Source organism: Homo sapiens, chromosome 2, assembly GCF_000001405.40.
Source record: "Homo sapiens chromosome 2, GRCh38.p14 Primary Assembly".
Lineage (NCBI taxonomy): Eukaryota > Metazoa > Chordata > Mammalia > Primates > Hominidae > Homo > Homo sapiens.
The window spans coordinates 130,570,684-130,588,123 of record NC_000002.12 but is presented as its reverse complement, the minus strand read 5'-3'; the positions used below and the strand labels follow the sequence as shown (position 1 = coordinate 130,588,123).

Sequence of the window (17,440 nt, the reverse complement as noted above, 5' to 3'; positions counted from 1 at the left end):
GGCGACACAGCCAGACTCCCTCTCAAAAAAAAAAAAAAAATAATAATAATAATAATAATAATAATAATAATAATAATAAATCTCACCTCCAAGCAGACCTTTGTATTTTTCCCTCATGGCATGTGATAGATCATGATGAAAGAAAAGCCACCTTTACGGTCTTTGACTTATGTAGAAAACCCAGGCTTGAGGAGGTGGGAGAATTCAGCAGGTCCGGAAGCCAGCGAACAGGAAATCAGGGGGCTGCAGTTTGGCCCCTGGATTCCAACCCCCAGGCACCTTTTCTGCAGTCTAGGAGAGACTGTAAACCTCCACTACAAGTTTGACGTCAATTATCATTTTAACCCTTGTTCCTGAGCCTCCCTGTGTGGGGTGCTTGCCAGGCCTGAGACTTCAGTCATCCCAGAGTCTTTGCTCCCTCAGACACTTTTGGCATCAAATGAAAACTTCCAGCCAGGTACACAGTGGCTCACCCCTGTAATCACCACACTTTGGGAGGCTGAGGCAGGAGGATCACTGAGCCCTGGAGGTAGAGGCTGCAGTGAACTATATAATATGATGCCACCGCTGCACTCCAGCCTAAGCTACAGAGCAAGACCCTGTCTCAAAAATTTTTAAATTAAAATTAAATAATATATTTTTTTTTAATAAAAGAAACTTCCCCCACTGCAGCATCACTCCAGCCCCTCTCTCATTCCCATTGGTATTACAGGCGGCCTCAGTCAGCCCTCCCAGGATCTCAATAGCTGGAAGGCAGGACAGGGTTCCTGCCTTCTGCAGTCAGACCTCGGTGTAGCCACATCCGCCAAGTGCTGCTGAGAACCTCAGGAAAAAGGAGCCATTGGGCAGAGCTGGGGGAATCATCCTCCAAGTTTCACCATTTGGGGTCTAATATTTTGCTTTAAACAATGTTGCCAAGAATAGGAAATGCCGTTATCGTGTGGAAAGTCTGTCTCTTTCACTCCTGCCCGCCATAATTCCTGTGTGGTGAGCAAGAAACACTATAATATGAAAATCGACATGAGGGTTTCTTCAGGGAAGAGCGTCAGGACCGCACATGGTCCTCTTCCTGCGCGGGAAGGCGCAGGCTGAGAAAAGCTCCGCAGGGGATGGGGGAGGGGGTGCCGCGCCCCACCCGAGTCCGCCCACTCTACCCGTTGAAATTCTTGCTGTGCTCTGCACACCTTTGCAAGGAAACCCGTCGAGGTTGTCATTTTGAGTAAATATAAATATAAAATGAGGCCAGGCACAGTGGGTCACCCCTGTAATCTTAGCACTTTGAGAGGCTGAGGCAGGAGAATCACTTGAGCCCGGGAGTTCGAGACCAGCCTGGGCAACATAATGAGATTCCTTCCTTACGAAAAAGTCTTAAAAAATTAGCCAGGCGTGGTGGTGCGCGTCTGTGGTCCCAGCTACTCGGGAGGCTGAAGAGGGAGGATCACGTGAGCCCAGGAAGTAGAGGCTGCAGGGAGCCGTGATCACACCACTGCACTCCAGCCTGGGAGACAGAATGAGACTCTGTCTCAGATACATGAATAAATAAAAACACAGATGGCCAGGTGCGGTGGCGCTCACTCCTGTAATCCCAGCCCTTTGGGAGGCTGAGACGGGCGGATCACGAGGTCAGGAGTTCAAGACCATCCTGACCAACATGGTGAAACCCCATCTCTACTAAAAATACAAACATAGGCCGGGCGCGGTGGCTCACGCCTGTAATCCCAGCACTTTGGGAGGCCGAGACGGGCGGATCACGAGGTCAGGAGATCGAGACCATCCTGGCTAACACGGTGAAACCCTGTCTCTACTAAAAATACAAAAAAAAAATTAGCCGGGCATGGTGGCGCGCGCCTGTAGTCCCAGCTACACGGGAGGCTGAGGCAGGAGAATGGCGTGAACCCGGGAGGCGGAGCTTGCAGTGAGTCGAGATCGCGCCACTGCACTCCAGCCTGGGCGACAGAGCGAAACTCCGTCTCAAAAAAAAAAAAAAAAAAAAAATACAAACATTAGCTTGGTGTGGTGGCACATGCCTGTAATCCCAGCTACTCAGCAGACTGAGGCAGGAGAATCACTTGAACCTGGAAGGTGGAGGTTGCAGTGAGCGGATATTGACCCACTGCACTCCAGCCCGGGCGACAGAGTGAGACTCTGTAAAAAAAAAAAAAAAAAAAAAAACAAGAAAAACTCAAACACATTATAGTTTGAGTTTCCTTCTGGCTCATGTATATGTGTGAAATACATTGTATTTAAATAGAATTGTTTGCCCCAGAGAGACCCCTCACCCCTTTTGCCAAGTGAGGACACAGCCAGAAGGCATCATCTATGGAAGTGGGTCCTCACCAGACACCAAATCAGCCAGCACCTTGAAAATAGACTTCACTTCTCCAGAACTGTGAGAACTAAATTTCTCTTTTTTTGTTTTGTTTTGTTTTGTTTTTCCTTTTTTCTTTTTTTCTTTTTTTTTTTTTTTTTTGACACAGAGTCTCGCTCTGTCGCCCAGGCTGGAGTGCAGTGGTGCCATCTCGGCTCACTGCAAGCTCCGCCTCCCAGGTTCATGCCATTCTCCTGCCTCAGCCTCCCGAGTAGCTGGGACTATAGGCGCCCACCACCGTGCCTGGCTAATTTTGATATTTTTAGTAGAGATGGGGTTTCACTATGTTGGCCAGGCTGGTCTTGGACTCCTGACCTCGTGATCCACCCGCCTCGGCCTCCCAAAGTGCTGGAATTACAGGCGTGAGCCACCAAGCCCGGCCGTTTCTGTTCTTTACAAGCCATCCAGCCTATGGCATTTTATTATAGCAGCCCAAACAGACTAAGACATTACTTATGTTCCTTTTATCTGTTTCCCAATCTTGTAAATAAATAAAATAAATAAAAATCAATATAACTCGATTTTTCACATTTAAAAAGCAGCATCTTCTGTAACATTTTCATGTTAGAACATGAAACATAGAACTATGTCTTTCTTACCATAGCATAAGTTTTTAAAATTGAAGTTTTGGTGGTTGTGTTTATGGAAAGAAAAATTACCATTAGGGGACAAAGAAAGAGCTCCCGGAAACTCTTCATTTTTAGGAGACAGGGTCTTGCTCTGTCACCCAGGGTGGAGTGCAGTGGTGTGATCATAGCTCACTGCTGCCTCAAACTCCTGGGCTCAAGGGATTCTCCTGCCTCAGGCTCCGGAGAAGCTAGGATTGCAGTCGCACACCACCATGACTGGCTAATTTTTGTGTTTTTATTATAGTAAAGACAGGATTTCACCATGTTGGCCAGGCTGGTCTCCAACTCCTGGGCTCAAGTGATCCACCATCAGCTCTCCTTGAGTCTCTAGCCTGCTGGCCTGCCTGCCAACCTCCGTAATCTCATAAGCCAATTCCCTAAGATGAAAAGTCTCACTATACAATATACATACACATCCTATTGGTTCTGTTTCTCTGGAGAACTCCAACACAGCTCCACTCCTGGGCCTTGACTTCTGCTGTTTTTGCAAAGGTCTGCTGAGGTGCAGCCCAATTGTGAGCTCTGAGAAGGCCCTCCCAGCAGAGACCACTGTGCGTCCCAGACATGTGATGACCATTCTCATGGCAGGCTTCCCTCTAGAACATGGCCTAGCAGATCCCCGTTCTCTTTCTACATTTCCAATGTCTTTATGAAGATTTTTTTTTTTCTGAGATGGAGTCTCGCTCTGTCGCCCAGGCTGGAGTGCAGTGGCACGATCTCAGCTCACTGCAACCTCCGCCTCCCAGGTTCACACCATTCTCCTGCCTCAGCCTTCCGAGTAGCTGGGACTACAGGTGCCCGCCACCACACCTGGCTAATTCTTTGTATTTTTAGTAGAGATGGGGTTTCACTGTGTTAGCCAGGATGGTCTCGATCTCCTGACCTTGTGATCTGCCCACCTTGGCCTCCCAAAGTGCTGGGATTACAGGTGTGAGCCACCACGACTGGCCGAAGATTTTTTTTTAAATAATACAATCAACACTTTTATTGATTTCTGTGTTTGTTTTAAGCAGGAGAGCTGACCCAAGTGACCGAGGCCACCTGCAGCTGCTCTCTCCACTTGCCATGGGAGCCTCAGCCGAAGATGTGGGAATGAAGTAGTCAGGGCATTTGTTTCCATGAAAATCCTCTTTGTGAGGCCGCCTTGGCTGGCTGTGTCCCTCGGCTGAGTGTCCCTGCTCCTCTCAGGCACCCTCTCCCCACGGCTCCTACTTCACTGGTCCCTCAGGGCCTTGGGTGGCAAGAGCTCTGCTTCTGATGCCTGTGCCAGGCCCCTGCCCTGGGCTTTCCCGGAGCCTTCAGCCCAAACATACCTGGGTGATTAGTACTTTTGTAAATAAATGCTCTACAAATTACCCCAACTAAAGTGGACCGGCTCCAAAGTCCACACTGTGACAGCCATACCTTTAAAGTAACGACTGGCTTCCTCTTTCATCTGCATTGACCCTGTTTGCTCAATGTAATGTGGTCTTTAATTCAACGATTACATTTTGCATATGTAATATTTTGACTTGGTTCTTTTCGGTAGTTTCTTTGTCTTAGGTCTTATTACTAATAATATTTTTCTGTATCCAAAAAGATATTTATTGTGCTTATTAAGTATGTTTGGTCTGTCTTTTCCAGCAACTCTACTTCCAGTAGTGGATGCTGTGCAGCCTACTGTGTTTCGGTGGGCATTGGACTCTTAAGATAGGCAGCTGCTCCAGTGCACGTGTGTGCATTCCCTGGGCTTAGCAGCTCCTGGTCACCCTGTCTGCACTAGCAAGGCTCCCAGTGAGTCAACGAGGAGGGTGGCCCCAGAGCAGAGGGCCCCAGGCACGAAGCACCTCACTCACTCTCTCCTGCATCCTGCCACCCCACAAGCCACTCCTGCAGGCGGGCCTGCCGGTGAAAGCCCTGGAGGAGATCACAGTGGAAGAGGCCCATTTCCCTGGATAGCAACTGTCCCACCCAGGGGGGTTTCAGGAGGAGGATGGAGGGCACACAACACCGGTGGCTTGTGGGGCCCTCACACTGGCTGACACAGCCACCTTGCAATCCTGACACCTGAGCGGGACCAGGCAGCATTTGTCACGAGGTGTGGGAGGCAAGCAACAAGAGCAGAGTGTGAACAGCCTTCTTAAGTCTGGCTCCTGGCTGCCCCATCCTCCATTCCCAGCTACAGCCGCCCAGGGTAACTTCAGTTTCTCCAAGATTTTCTCACTGATTTTGGTTAGTTTCTGAAATGCACACTGCCTTCTCGCCTCCACAGCTCACCCAGGGTCGATTTTGGAGAGGGAGCCAGTAGCCCGTGCAGCACAACACATGGAGGCCTGGAGCCCCTGACGATGGGTCTAGGGAAAACCACGCAGGGGCCACTCCCAGCCTTTCCGTAGCACCACTCACTGGCCCTGCAGATCTGTTCTGTTCCCTGATGTCAGTATTGTGGCCTGGGGTCCTCCCTTGCCACTGACCAGATAGAATCTGGCCACACTAGAGACAGGCCAGCTAGAGCCTCTCAAGGCAGTCTGGGAAGGTGAGACAGGGCCGGAGGCCTCTGGAAACAGCTGCACTCATGGAAAGCACAAGGCTTCTGAGCTCTCTCTGGAGATGTGGGTTTGAATCCCTGTTCCAGTATTTACTACCAAGTGACCTTAGACAAGTTCCTAACCACGCTGGGCTTCGGGTTCCAGATCTATAAAAAGAGACTGAATGCGGCTTGTGGTCCTGAGGTGGGTTCCAGGCGCAGAAACCTACAGGCGCTGTGCTCCAGCAGGCCTGCGGAGCTCCTAGGTGTGGATTTGCAGCCACAGAATCGGAGGAGGCCAGAGGAACTTCATGGACAGGCAGGCCATTGCGTAACTCCATGCTTCACGTAGGAACATGCCTGCTGATGGACAAAGCACAAGTCACCACGTGAGGGAACTCCAGCCCAGCCAGCATGGGGCCACCATGGGCAGAGGGAAAGTGGCAGTTCTGGCAACAGCGGTGGCTAATGCTCTAAATCTGAACTGATCAAGTGCTAATTCCCACCTCAGGGCCCAGCAGTCCCACTCTGCAGCCCCATAACTGAGTTTGCCATCAGGAGAGGAAATGCTTTCTTCTCGCTTCCAGACACTGCTGAGCTTGTAAAGCCAGATACCGTGCTGGGCATAGGTGTCTGGCTCAGTGGCACCTCACCAGGAAGGAGGGAAGGAAGGCTCTGAGTTGGAAAGGAAACCTCTGCATTAGTGTCAGAGGGCTTCAAGACCAAGAGATTCTGCCGATCATTCCCATGAGACTTCACTTGTTCCCACCTGCTGGTGAGGGCCTGGGCTATCTGGGTGACAACAGGACTAGAAATAATTTGCACAGAACACCTGGATGGCACTTGGGGCACAATGTACCTTCAGTGAAGGGGGGCTGCCCTCTTTTTATTGTGAGTTCAGGTTGGGGGTTGCGGGAGAGCTGCGGTGCGAGGCCCTTCGAGAGTCCTGCTGACTCGCTAGGATACAAACCTGACTCAGACAGGTTTACAGGGGCAACTCAGAGTCTGGTTTATGGGCTCAGTGCTGGACCAGCAAGTCCTGGGTCAGCTAAGCCACAACCCCTACAAGCTGGAGCAAGCCACAGGGATGGGGGCTGGGTTTCTGGAGGCAGGGAGAGGGCAGGGCAGCGGGTACAGGGGGCAGTCAGCTGAGAGCTGACCCATGGGACACAGCTCTGGTACTGCTGACCGAAGACCTCAGCCCCCTTCACAGTTTACTTGCAAGCTGTCGAGGAGAGCCTCTGTGACCTGCGCACCTGGAAGATGCCGCTTCATCCCTGACCGGTGCACAACACCCAGCTCCAGGAGGACAGGCAGCTTCTTCCATGTGGGGAGGCCCTGGCCCCATTTTTCTGGAAGACTGCATGCCCTGGAGGACCCGAATGGGGCCTGAGTCTGCGCGACCCAACTTCCCAAGGAGAGTGACTTGGCTCCCATATGGTCAGCCTGGACCCTGCCCAGGGAGGAGGGAGACCTTCCCTCCCTGAGGAGCTGGAGACACAGTGGAGCATGGGAGATGGCTCTGGTGGGCCAGAAACCAGAGCCAGAAGCTTCTTGGGTGGTTTTTAGTTTGTCAGGCCTGAGGCAGGGGTGGCCTTGGGTGGACAGGAGAGCTCAGAGATGGAAACACGTCAGGAGTGTGCAGAGCTCAGCAAGGAGGCCGGCCTGAGGTGGGCATGCTTGTGGTAAGAGGCCAGGGGCCCTGGCCCTTCACAGGCTCCCCAGGAGAATCAGCAGCAGGAGGAACATGTGAGCAGCCAGAAGGGCTGCGCAGAGCCCGGGCTTGTGGACGATGCCCTGAGAGGTCATGCTGTCCAGGGCTGGGGGTGTTTCCTGAGGAGGAGCCAAGGCGGGATCTGGAGGGGTGCTCTCCCTCTTCTTCTGGCTGATCCAGTTGGTGAAGTAGGGGAGCCTGGTGAAGACCCTGGGACCGACGGGTGAGCAGCAGTCGAGGCTCCAACTAGACAGCCCCATCAGGAACCAGGTGCCATTTAATGGGCAGACGAGGGGACCCCTGGAGTCTCGCTGAGAACAGAGAGGACATGGGTGGTAGGGACCAAGACAGGGAGGGACACGCATTGTTCAGGGCACAGGAGGGGACCTTACGCTTCTCCAGGATGGAATGTGGGAAGCAAGGTGTGGGGCAGGTGTCTCCACTGTCTGAGTGAGTGGCGCTCATCAGTCACCTGGGCGATGTTAGAAGCCCAGACCCAGGAGGGACCTCCTGGATCAAAATCTCGAGCACGGGGCCCTGGAGCTTCACTCCACAAAGCTCCCAAGGAGACCCTGGGCAGAGCCTCCATCCTGGCAGTCACAAACCCATGAGAATAAGCAGGGGATTCTAGGAGATGGACATCCAGGCCTAGCCCTCCTGACCCCAGTGGGGAGAAGGCACTGCCTGTGGTCCCCAGGGTGGCTGGGTGCCAGCCTGGAGGAATGGCTGTGCCTTGGCCTGAATCTTCCTCCAAGCACTGCATCCCACCAGTATTTTTTTTTTTTTTTTTTTTTGAGACAGAGACTCGCTCTGTGCCCAGGCTGGAGTGCAGTGACGCGATCTCAGCTCACTGCAAGCTCCGCTTCCTGGGTTCACCCCATTCTCCTGCCTCAGTCTCCCGAGTAGCTGGGACTACAGGCACCCGCCACCACACCAGCTAATTTTTTGTCTTTTTAGTAGAGACGGGGTTTCACCATGTTAGCCAGGATGGTTTCGATCTCCTGACCTCGTGATCCACCCGCCTCGGCCTCCCAAAGTGCTGGGATTACAGGCATGAGCCACCGCGCCCGGCCATTTTTGTTCTTTTTTAAACTTTTTTTAAAAAATTAAAATGGAGATGGAGATCTTGCCATGTTACCAGCAGATCTTGAACTGATGGTATCAAGTGATCTTCCCGCCTTGGCCTCCAAGGTGCTGGGATTAAATCTAGTCCCAAATCCAGATGTCCTTCACTTATTAAGGTCTCTAGTGTTCCCTCCATTTCTTGGTTGAGCTTTTTAGAAAATGCCAGGCTGTGGGATGTGCTGAGGGGAAAAGAGGTGCTGCCCGTGCCCAGCGTGGGGGTAGGGCAAGTGCCAGGGGTTCCCAGGTGAGCGCGGGGGATTGTGAGTGTGGCAGGGCCCCCAAGCGGGGAAGTCCCTGACATCATGGGCAGAGCACCCGCATCCCATAGGCCAAAAAGGGAAACCCAAGGAAACAAGCATCCTCCTGCCATCTGTGCAATCAACATGACCAAGTCTTTCTGTGTGCACACAGCACTGAAGAGGCCCCGAGGGACCTTCCACATGAACAGACATCGCAGACGTGGGGTGTGGATCGGGGCGGCCTGGAAGGACCCCAGAAGGGCTGCTCTAATTCTAGAGCTTCTCTGAGCCAACACAGGAAGGAGGGGCAAGACCTGACTGTGCCAGCCCACAGCCTCCTCAGAGGGCAGGGAACCCATGGGACCTGGTGCAGATTCTGTCTGATAGGATGGTACTGGCCTGAGCCCCATCAGGACACAACTGCAGGAGAAGGGATGGCAGAGGCTGGCGGGAAATGGTCAACAGACGGGACTTGCCATATCTGACCCTTTCTCTCTGTCTAAGGAAATGGGGCAAGGCAGGGGAAGCAGGCCCAGTGGTGCACAGTGGGCTGTTGGTGTCAGGAGGCTGAAGGGCCCCTCCAAGGAGGAGAGCAGAGAGCAGGAGGGGCCGCCCACAGTGTCTGATGGGGGATGCTGCACCAACGCCTGACAGCATGGCTGTGGTGAGGACGGAGCCCAGGAAGCAAGAGAGGGCACAGGCAGGCACCCTGGGGTGAGCCCTGCTGGGATGGGTGGGGTGGGAGGAGGTTGTGGGGAGCAGGGAGGGTGCCTGTAGGGCATTTTGTGATGAGAGTCATCGAAGAATGTTTCTGCACCATGAGGTGACCAAAGAGAGAGAAAGAAAAAGAGGGAGGCGCAACAGAGGGAGAGGAGGCCGGGCACGGTGTCTCACACCTGTAATCCCAGCACTTTTGGGATGCTGAGGCAGGCAGATCACTTGAGGTCAGGAGTTTGAGACCAGCCCAGCTAACATGATGAAACCCCATCTCTACTAAAAATATAAAAATTAGCTGGGCGTGGTAGTGCATCCCAGTTACTCAGGAAGCTGAGGCAGGAGAATCACTTGAACCCAGGAGGCAGAGGTTGCAGTGAGCCGAGATTGCACTACAGCACTCTAGCATGGGCGATAAAGTAAGGCCCTGTATCAAAAAAAAAAAAAAAAAAAAAAGAGGGAGAGGATCCTGCAGGAGTCCTCCTGGGACCCACAGCTCCCAAGAAGGGCAGGGCCTCTCCAAGCTTGACTGTGGCTGTGACCCCTCACCTTGGGTGATACACTTCCTCTCTGGGCCTCAGTTCCCCGCACTATAAAATGAAAAGATTACACATAGTGGGATAAGACATTCATAATATATGAACATATCCAATAATGGGCTCATAGCCACAATAGATAAAGAACTCCTATGATTCAGAATGAAAGGCAGACAATCCCATAGTTGGCAAAAAACTTGCACGGACACTTTACAAAAGAGGCAATAAACATATAACAAAGGGCTTATCTTCACCAGTCACCAGAGAAATGCACATTAAAAACCATACACAAGAGTTCATATGAAAATGGCAGACAATTTGAAGGACTGGCAACAACAGGGTGCAACCTGAACTATCACTCACCAGCTGGTGGAAATGCAAATTGGTACAACCAGGTTGCAGAGTTTCTCAGATGATCAACGAGAGATGAACATGTGCATGTCTCATGGCAAGGCAATTCCATTGCCAGGGGGACCGCCAACCAGAATGGGAACCTATGTGCTCTGAAATGCATACACCAGGAAGTTCACAGCAATTCCATTTGCAACAGCCTCAGATGGGAACCACCCAAATGCCACCCACACTAGAATGGATGAGTAAATTGCAGTGTCTTTGCACAGTGGAATAGCATACGGCAATAAAAATGAACAATACAGACTGCACGCCAGATGGATGCATCCCACAGACACAACATTGACTGATGGGACCAGGCAAAAGCTTGCATACCATATGGCTTCACTCAGCTAAAAGTCCCCACATGAAGCTATGGTGCTTTAGAAAGCAGGCAGAGTTATCCTGGGGGAGTTAGCGTCAGGAATGGGCAAGGATGAAACCCACGGGTGCCGGGTACATGAGTGGTCAGTCTCTGAAAATTCCTCCACAGGACACTTGTACTTTTGCCCTTTCCTGTGCATGGTGTGCTTCAATAAGGTTTCTTTTTCCTTTCTTTCTTTTTTTCTTTTTTTTTTTTTTTTTTTGAGACGGAGTCTCACTCTGTCACCCAGGCTGGAGTGCGGTGGCATGATCTCAGCTCACTGCAACTGCCGCCTCCCGGGTTCAAGCGATTCTCCTGCCTCAGCCTCCCAAGTAGCTGGGATTATAGGCACGTGCCACCATGCCCGGCTGATTTTTGTATTTTTAGTAGAGATGGGGTTTCACCATGTTGGTCAGGCTGGTCTCAAACTCCTGACCTCAGGTGATCCACCCGCCTCGACCTCCCAAAGCGCTGGGATTACAGACGTGAGCCACTGTACCCTACCAACAACGTTTCTTAAAAGATACAAAAAAAACAGATGGGCCAGTGCTTGTTGGGAGTTTCTGTCCTGGCTCCGACACCTCAGGCTTGGCTGGGCTCAGGAAGAAGTCGGGGCTGGGGCAGGGTCCAGAGGAGACCCTGTGGCAGAGGCCCAGGGCAGCACAGGGGAGAGAGAGTGAGCCCACTCACTCGGCAAATGGCCTTTCCTGTTATGAGGTCCCCAGCGCACAGCATGTCCTCGTGGATGGTGTAGTCACTGCTGCTTGGCTGGCCGGGGTACTGGGGCTGGAAAAAGGATCCGCAGACAGTGTTGTCCATGACACCGACCTCTGCCTCCTGAAGTTGGAAGGGCTCAGGCAGGAAGACTGTGGGAGGAGATGTCAGATGTGGGAGGAGATGTCAGATGTGGGAGGAGGTGTCAGATGTGGGCCTCAACTGCAGCTGCAGCCAGAGGGAAGCCCTCCCTCCCCAGCCTGCTGGCCCAGGGAGAGCACACGAAGATAAGGGGACAGCCAAAGGGGGAGGGCCTGCAGTAGGAAGAACCAGGAGGGAGGCCAATGTGGCTGCAAGGGAGCAGGCGTGGGGTGAAAGGTGAGGTGCAGCCGCCTCAGGGCCCAGAGCAGGGGCCCTCCTAGCCAGGATGTGGTGTTGGAGGTGTCGTTCCAAGCACACTGGGACACAATAGAAGGGTCAAAAACAAGCCCTCTGGCTGCTAAGAGGAGGCAGAGCTGGAGGCAGGGAGGGTGGCAGCTGGATTGCCAGCCTGGCCGGTGGCATACCTAGCAGGTGCTGGGTGGGTTTGAGCAGTGTAGCAGTGTGACAAATCAGGCATGGCCCTTCCTCAAGGAGCAACTGGTCTGGGGACACTTGGGCTCTGTTTCCAGATGTCGCTCCCAGATCTGGCCTGGGGTCCCCATGTGGGAGCAGCGCGATGACAGGGGCCGACCCCTGCACAATGCCTGCCCTGTGTGGGCCTCATGTGTCCTTGGGGGCTGCCGGTGTGTGGAGAGAGAAGGATGACTAGAGCCCAGATCTCTCATCAAGGTCGGTGGCTCTCTGCTCAGTAGCTGATCCAACTAACTGGTGACTTCCCCAGGCCCTAGCTCCTCCTTTCCCACCTGGAGAATCTTCTCTGCCTTGATTCTTAGAGAATGACAGTCCCTTGGAGGCCGAGGAGGGCAGATCACCTGCGGTCGGGAATTCGAAACCAGCCTGACCAACATGGAGCAACCCGTCTCTACTAAAAATACAAAATTAGCCAGGTGTGGTGGTGCATGCCTGTCATCCTAGCTACTCAGGAGGATGAGGCAGAAGAATCGCTTGAACCCGGGAGGTGGGGGTTGTGGTGAGCCGATATCATGCCATCCCACTCCAGCCTGGACAACAAGAGCAAGACTCCGTCTCAAAAAAAAAAAAAAAAATAGTTTGAGAATGACAGTCCCAGGAGGCTGTCTTTGGAGGGCTGGCTGCTCTCATGACTAGGGCCACGTGACTGGCATTCAGTGGCCAAGGCAGGGAGGCCAGCTCTGGCCTGTTCATGGAAGAAAGTCCTGTCCCAAATGCCTCCTCTGAGATATTCTGCCAGATCATGACCCCACAAATAATGCCAAATTGCCATTCTACTTTTTTGCACTCATCATTACATTTCCCTAAATCAAAAGCATTCACTCTTTTGCTAGAGTCTTTGCCTAACATTTCTTCCCTCTCAGTCTACAAATATACAAATATATGACAAATATACTGGGTGAGCAGTGAGGTTCACATTCACAGAGATAAGTGTTCTTGAGCCATAAACACTTGGACTGGAGGACAGGCCTGCTCTTTTTTTTCTTGAGACAGAGTCTCACTCTGTTGCCAGGCTGGAGTGCAGTGGTGCGATCTCGGCTCACTGCAACCTCCGCCTCCCAGGTTCAAGCGATTCTCCTGTCTCAGCCTCCTGAGTAGCTGGGATTACAGGCAAGTGCCACCATGCCCAGTTAATTTCTGTGTGTGTGTGTGTGTGTGTGTGTGTGTGTGTGTGTGTATAAAATATATATACATATATTTTTTTTCTTTTATTAGTAGAGATGTGGTTTCACCATGTTGGCCAGGATGGTCTCGATCTTCTGACCTCGTGATCCACCCACCTCAGGCTCCCAAAGTGCTGGGATTACAGGCGTGAGCCACCGCACCCGCAGGCCTGCTCTTACTTGCTACTGATGCCCAGCACCTTCCACAGCTGTGGAAGCTCCAGTAGAGTTTGGTGAGGCCCTGGAGGAGGTCAGATGGCAGCAGGCCCTTGTAATCAGGGTGGAGTCAGAAACATTCAGAACCAGGGAATCCTGAATGGCTCAGAGTCAAAGAGCCCAAGTACCTGCCTCCAAAAGTGGGAGAAGCTCAGGCCGCTTGACCCATGCCAGGGGGAATTGTGACACTAGGGAGGACTGGCAGAGCCCCGAAGCGGCCTCCCGCACCTTCACCTGCATTGCCTGCCCTGCACTGCTCACCATCCTCGGTGACCATTCCCCAACCAGATATCCAGCAGGAGCTGTCAGGGGCCAGCCACGTGGTTGGTTCCGGAAGGCAGGCGGGGAGGATGTGGGAGCTGAATTCCACATGACGGTGCAGCTGCAGCAGGGTGATGTCACTCCCCATGCGGTGCAACTCGTTATAGTCAGCGTGCACCATGATCTTATTCACTGTCATCTGCTTGCTGTGCTCTGTGGGATGGCTTTGCTGGTCATACCCAAGCAGGATCCGGTAATCAGATGGGTTAGTGGACCTGTTGTGGGGAGGCTCCTCTGAATGCTGGGCCGGCACCCTCACCCCGGCTGCCCACCTGGAAGGCACCCAGACCCCACCATCACTCTGGGGTTTCTGTCTCCTCCCTTCCTCGTGTCAGATAGCCCTGCTTTGCTCTTGACACAAGCTTGAGGGCCTACAGCCTCAGGACACTTGGCCTTGGATGATTCCTGATGGCTTTCCCAGCATGCCCCAGACTCAAAGGAGTAGAGAATCTTAGTGCAGAAAACACTGGCGATGCATTACACTTCACCCCTTCATTTCAGAAAAGAAGAGACTTGGCTCATTCCTAGCTCTGACCAGAACCTTCCCAAGGCCCCATGACCTACAGCAATTCTCAAAGACCCTGTTTCCCTAGCCAGCATGCTCCACCCACTTCTCCCCGGTTCTCACACACCACCTTCTCCAAGGCTGCCCCACCTGGTGACAGGAACTCAGTAGGTATTTGTGAAGCACATGGAGGAGTTAATGGAACTGAACTTCTTGTTTCCAGAAAACGAGTGACTTTCCAACCCACAGGTCCTGGCTGTGTGGTTCTCCTCCCCCAACATGGCTGCATCCACCTCCCCCAAGGCCTCTCCTGCTCTAAGCCCCTGTCTGGCACAGGGTCTACCATGGTCCTGGGCTTGCGCCTCACTTTCCTGACAGGATGAGAAGCCTCAGAGTGGGGCTTGCATCTCTATGTACCACACAATGGGCCTCACTTGAGGCCTGGCACCTGTGGATGCTGAATAAATGAGTGGGACCTGAGGAGGATGCTACAGCCAGCTATGTCCAAAGCTCTGGCTTCCTGGCTCAGAATTGGACATCCTCCCTGACTCCCTTTGGGCACACAGCGAGCCCAGGAAGCATCGGAGGAGTAACTCAGTCTCTTGACCCTCTGCCTCACACCTCCTGGGACAGAGGCCATCTGTTTCATCCCTCACTCTGGTCTGTGGGGACGGTGGCAAATAATTCTCCAGAAGTGACAAAAACCCCCTGGTGGCTGGACATACAGAGTCGCAGGACCCTTCTGGGGAAGAATGTGCCAGCATATGTGGGTAGCCAGGACCTAGGGGAGCCTCCGGCAGGTGTTCCCCGGACAGCCTGCAATGAGCCCTGGTTGGAAGGGGCCAGGTGCTCGACCATGCCTGCCTGGCCCTGAGAAGCCCTGGGACTGTCACTCTGTCTTATCACCTGAAGTGTGTGTCAAGTGTGTGGCCTGGGACACTGCACACCCACTACCATTTACACAAGAAAAACCGAGGCCCACTGAGATTGTGTGGATGGCCTAGAGCTGGGCAAGATGCAGAAACCAAAGTTCACCCTGAGGGGAACATTAGGATTTTGATTCCTAAAGTTTACAGCAGACGGAGAATGGGCTGGAAGTGGTTCCCTTTAGAACGAAAGTCTGTTTTCCTGTATTTATTGACAGTCCCAACTAGAGTGAGTTAATTTTCATTTAGCTATTTATTTTATTTTATTTTTGAGACAAGATCTGGCTTTGTGGCCCAGGCTGGAGTGCAGTGGCACAACCACATTTCACTGCAGCCTCGACCTCCCTGGGCTCAGGTGATCCTCCTGCCTCAGCCTCCTCAGTAGCAGGGACCACAGGCCTGCCCCATCGTACTTGGCTAATTTTTTTATTTTTAGTAGAGATGGGTTTTGCCATGTTGCCCAGGCTGGTCTTGAACTCTTGGGCTCAAGCAATCCACCTGCCTTGGCCTCCTAAAGTGCTGGGATTACAGGTGTGAGCCACCGTGACAGGCCTTAACTATTTATTTTTACTTTTAATTATTTACTTATTTTCAGACAGGTCTCATTCTGTCACCCAGGGTGGAGTGCAATGGTGTGATCACAGTCACTTGCAGCCTTGACCTCCCAGGCTCAAGTGATCCTCCCAAGTAGCTGGGACTACAGGCGCACACCACCAGGCCCGGCTAATTTTTGTACTTTTTGTAGAGATGAGGTGTCACTATGTTGCCCAGGCTGGTCTGGAATTCCTGGACTCATACAATCCTCCCACCTTAGCCTCCCAAGTACTAGGATTACAGGTGTGAGCCATCACACCCGGCTCCATTTAGCTATTTCAAAGTAATGTGCAATGTAATGAGGCAACCACACCATCTTAGCAGGCTGACCAATGTGGTGTGGGGTGGGGTGGGGTTGGGGAATGCCCAACCCCAGAGTGAGAGATGAGGTAGGAGCCTCTGCTTGGGAGATGCCACACAGTTGGTCAGGAGACTGGAGCAGAGTGACGAGCAGGGACAGCATTCCAGGCACAGGGCACTGCTGGGTCAAAGGCAGGACACCTGGGGCAGCAAACTGTCCCAGAACAAAGCGTACAAAGAAAAGACTGCGCCCTCACTTTGGGCTTCCCTCTTGCATGCACTCCCACAGCGGGGCCCGTGGAGGGAAGATGCATCTTTGGAAGCAGTGAGCAGCAGAGGCCACCCAGTTGCTGTCGATGAGGGCAGCTCCACAGATGTGCCCGCCTAGGTAGAGGAGACTGGCCTGCCATGGCCACCGCTAAGGCTCAGCCCTCTGGCCTCCAAAGATCTTCCCGGTGGGCCTCCCGGAGGAATTGCCGCTGAATCTGGCCTTCTCACACACTGTGGAGACAGCCCAGCAATGAGGTGCCTGCACGAAGGACGCCAGCCAGCCCCGGGTGCCCCCAAATATCAGGATCAACAGGACTCGGGGCCACCAGGCCCCTCCTCTCACTTCACAGGAGGGACAAGTCCAAGGCTCAGGTTGAAGCCACGTGGCCCATGTGACAGCACCACCTGGATGACCCGGGAGCACACAGCCCATGGCCCCCTGTCAGGGGCGACGGCCCGTGGGGCTACGGGGTGAGCACTGGGCCCGACTTTTCCCAGGCCTCAATGCCGTTTGTGATGGCGCAGAAGCTGCCTGCTACAGAAGGGATGTACTGCTCCACTGCGCGGCCCCTAAGCGGCAGTGCCCTCCCTTCCCGGCCCAGTGTTCTCCCAGACTGAAGCGAACGAGAGACAGTCCGCGCACAATCCCGTCTGCAGTAGCATTTCCCCATCCTGGAAATGAGGGTGTGTGGGGCGCTGGACTGTAGAGGCCTGAGATCCAACCCGGCAGAGCCAGCGGGGGAGCGCCCCGCCCTCTCCCCTCCTTCCAAAGGCGCCTTCCTCCCAGGGCCCGGAGAGCCAGACCTGGCCTGGCTGGGCCCTCCTGGCGGGTGTCCTCATCGGGCGGAGGGGGACGGCCACGAGAGGCAGGCGACCTCTGCTCCTCGCTCTGTCTGGGCCACCCCTGCCCGCTCACCTGCAGAGAGGGACGAGGTGGACTAGACGCGCAGCGGCAGGAGGATTGGCCAGAGGAGGGAGGCGGCCAGTGCGCAGTGCCCCCGCCGGCCCTGGCCTGAGCGCTCTGCCCCTGCTTCCCTCATCAGGCCGGTGGCCTGGGCGTCCCCGACGGGGCGGAGAGCGCGGGGCGTGGCCAACCGCGGGGCTCCAGGAAAACGCCTGCGTCCATCAGGATGCTGGGACTGGATCTCGCGCGGCGGGTGCGGGGAGCCCAGGTCGGTAGGAGGCAGGGGTCGCTGGAAACCCCCAGAGCATC

At 53.6% G+C, this 17,440-nt stretch overlaps 1 pseudogene across 2 annotated transcripts, besides 2 other annotated features; it reads right to left on the bottom strand.

Moving 5' to 3' along the window:
- Nucleotides 1-3,962: 3,962 nt before the first annotated feature.
- PRSS40A (serine protease 40A (pseudogene)) lies at nt 3,963-17,278 on the bottom strand (annotated as a pseudogene). Of its 2 annotated transcripts, NR_027313.1 has the most exons (3): nt 17,144-17,278; nt 11,276-11,451; nt 3,963-5,863 (listed from the first exon to the last, which is right to left on the bottom strand). The product of NR_027313.1 is annotated as a serine protease 40A (pseudogene), transcript variant 1 (transcript). The 2 variants fall into 2 exon arrangements; NR_027314.1 differs by lacking the exon at nt 11,276-11,451 and having other exon boundaries at nt 3,963-5,866; nt 17,144-17,275.
- Nucleotides 4,961-5,461: an enhancer, noted in NCBI's record as "H3K4me1 hESC enhancer chr2:131340236-131340736 (GRCh37/hg19 assembly coordinates)". NCBI's record gives its function as "activates a minimal SCP1, AML or CMV promoter by ChIP-STARR-seq in naive H9 embryonic stem cells {active_cell/tissue: H9 hESC(naive)}" and the evidence as "EXISTENCE:reporter gene assay evidence [ECO:0000049][PMID:30033119]".
- Nucleotides 11,043-11,713: an enhancer, noted in NCBI's record as "H3K4me1 hESC enhancer chr2:131333984-131334654 (GRCh37/hg19 assembly coordinates)". NCBI's record gives its function as "activates a minimal SCP1, AML or CMV promoter by ChIP-STARR-seq in primed H9 embryonic stem cells {active_cell/tissue: H9 hESC(primed)}" and the evidence as "EXISTENCE:reporter gene assay evidence [ECO:0000049][PMID:30033119]".
- Nucleotides 17,279-17,440: the final 162 nt, after the last annotated feature.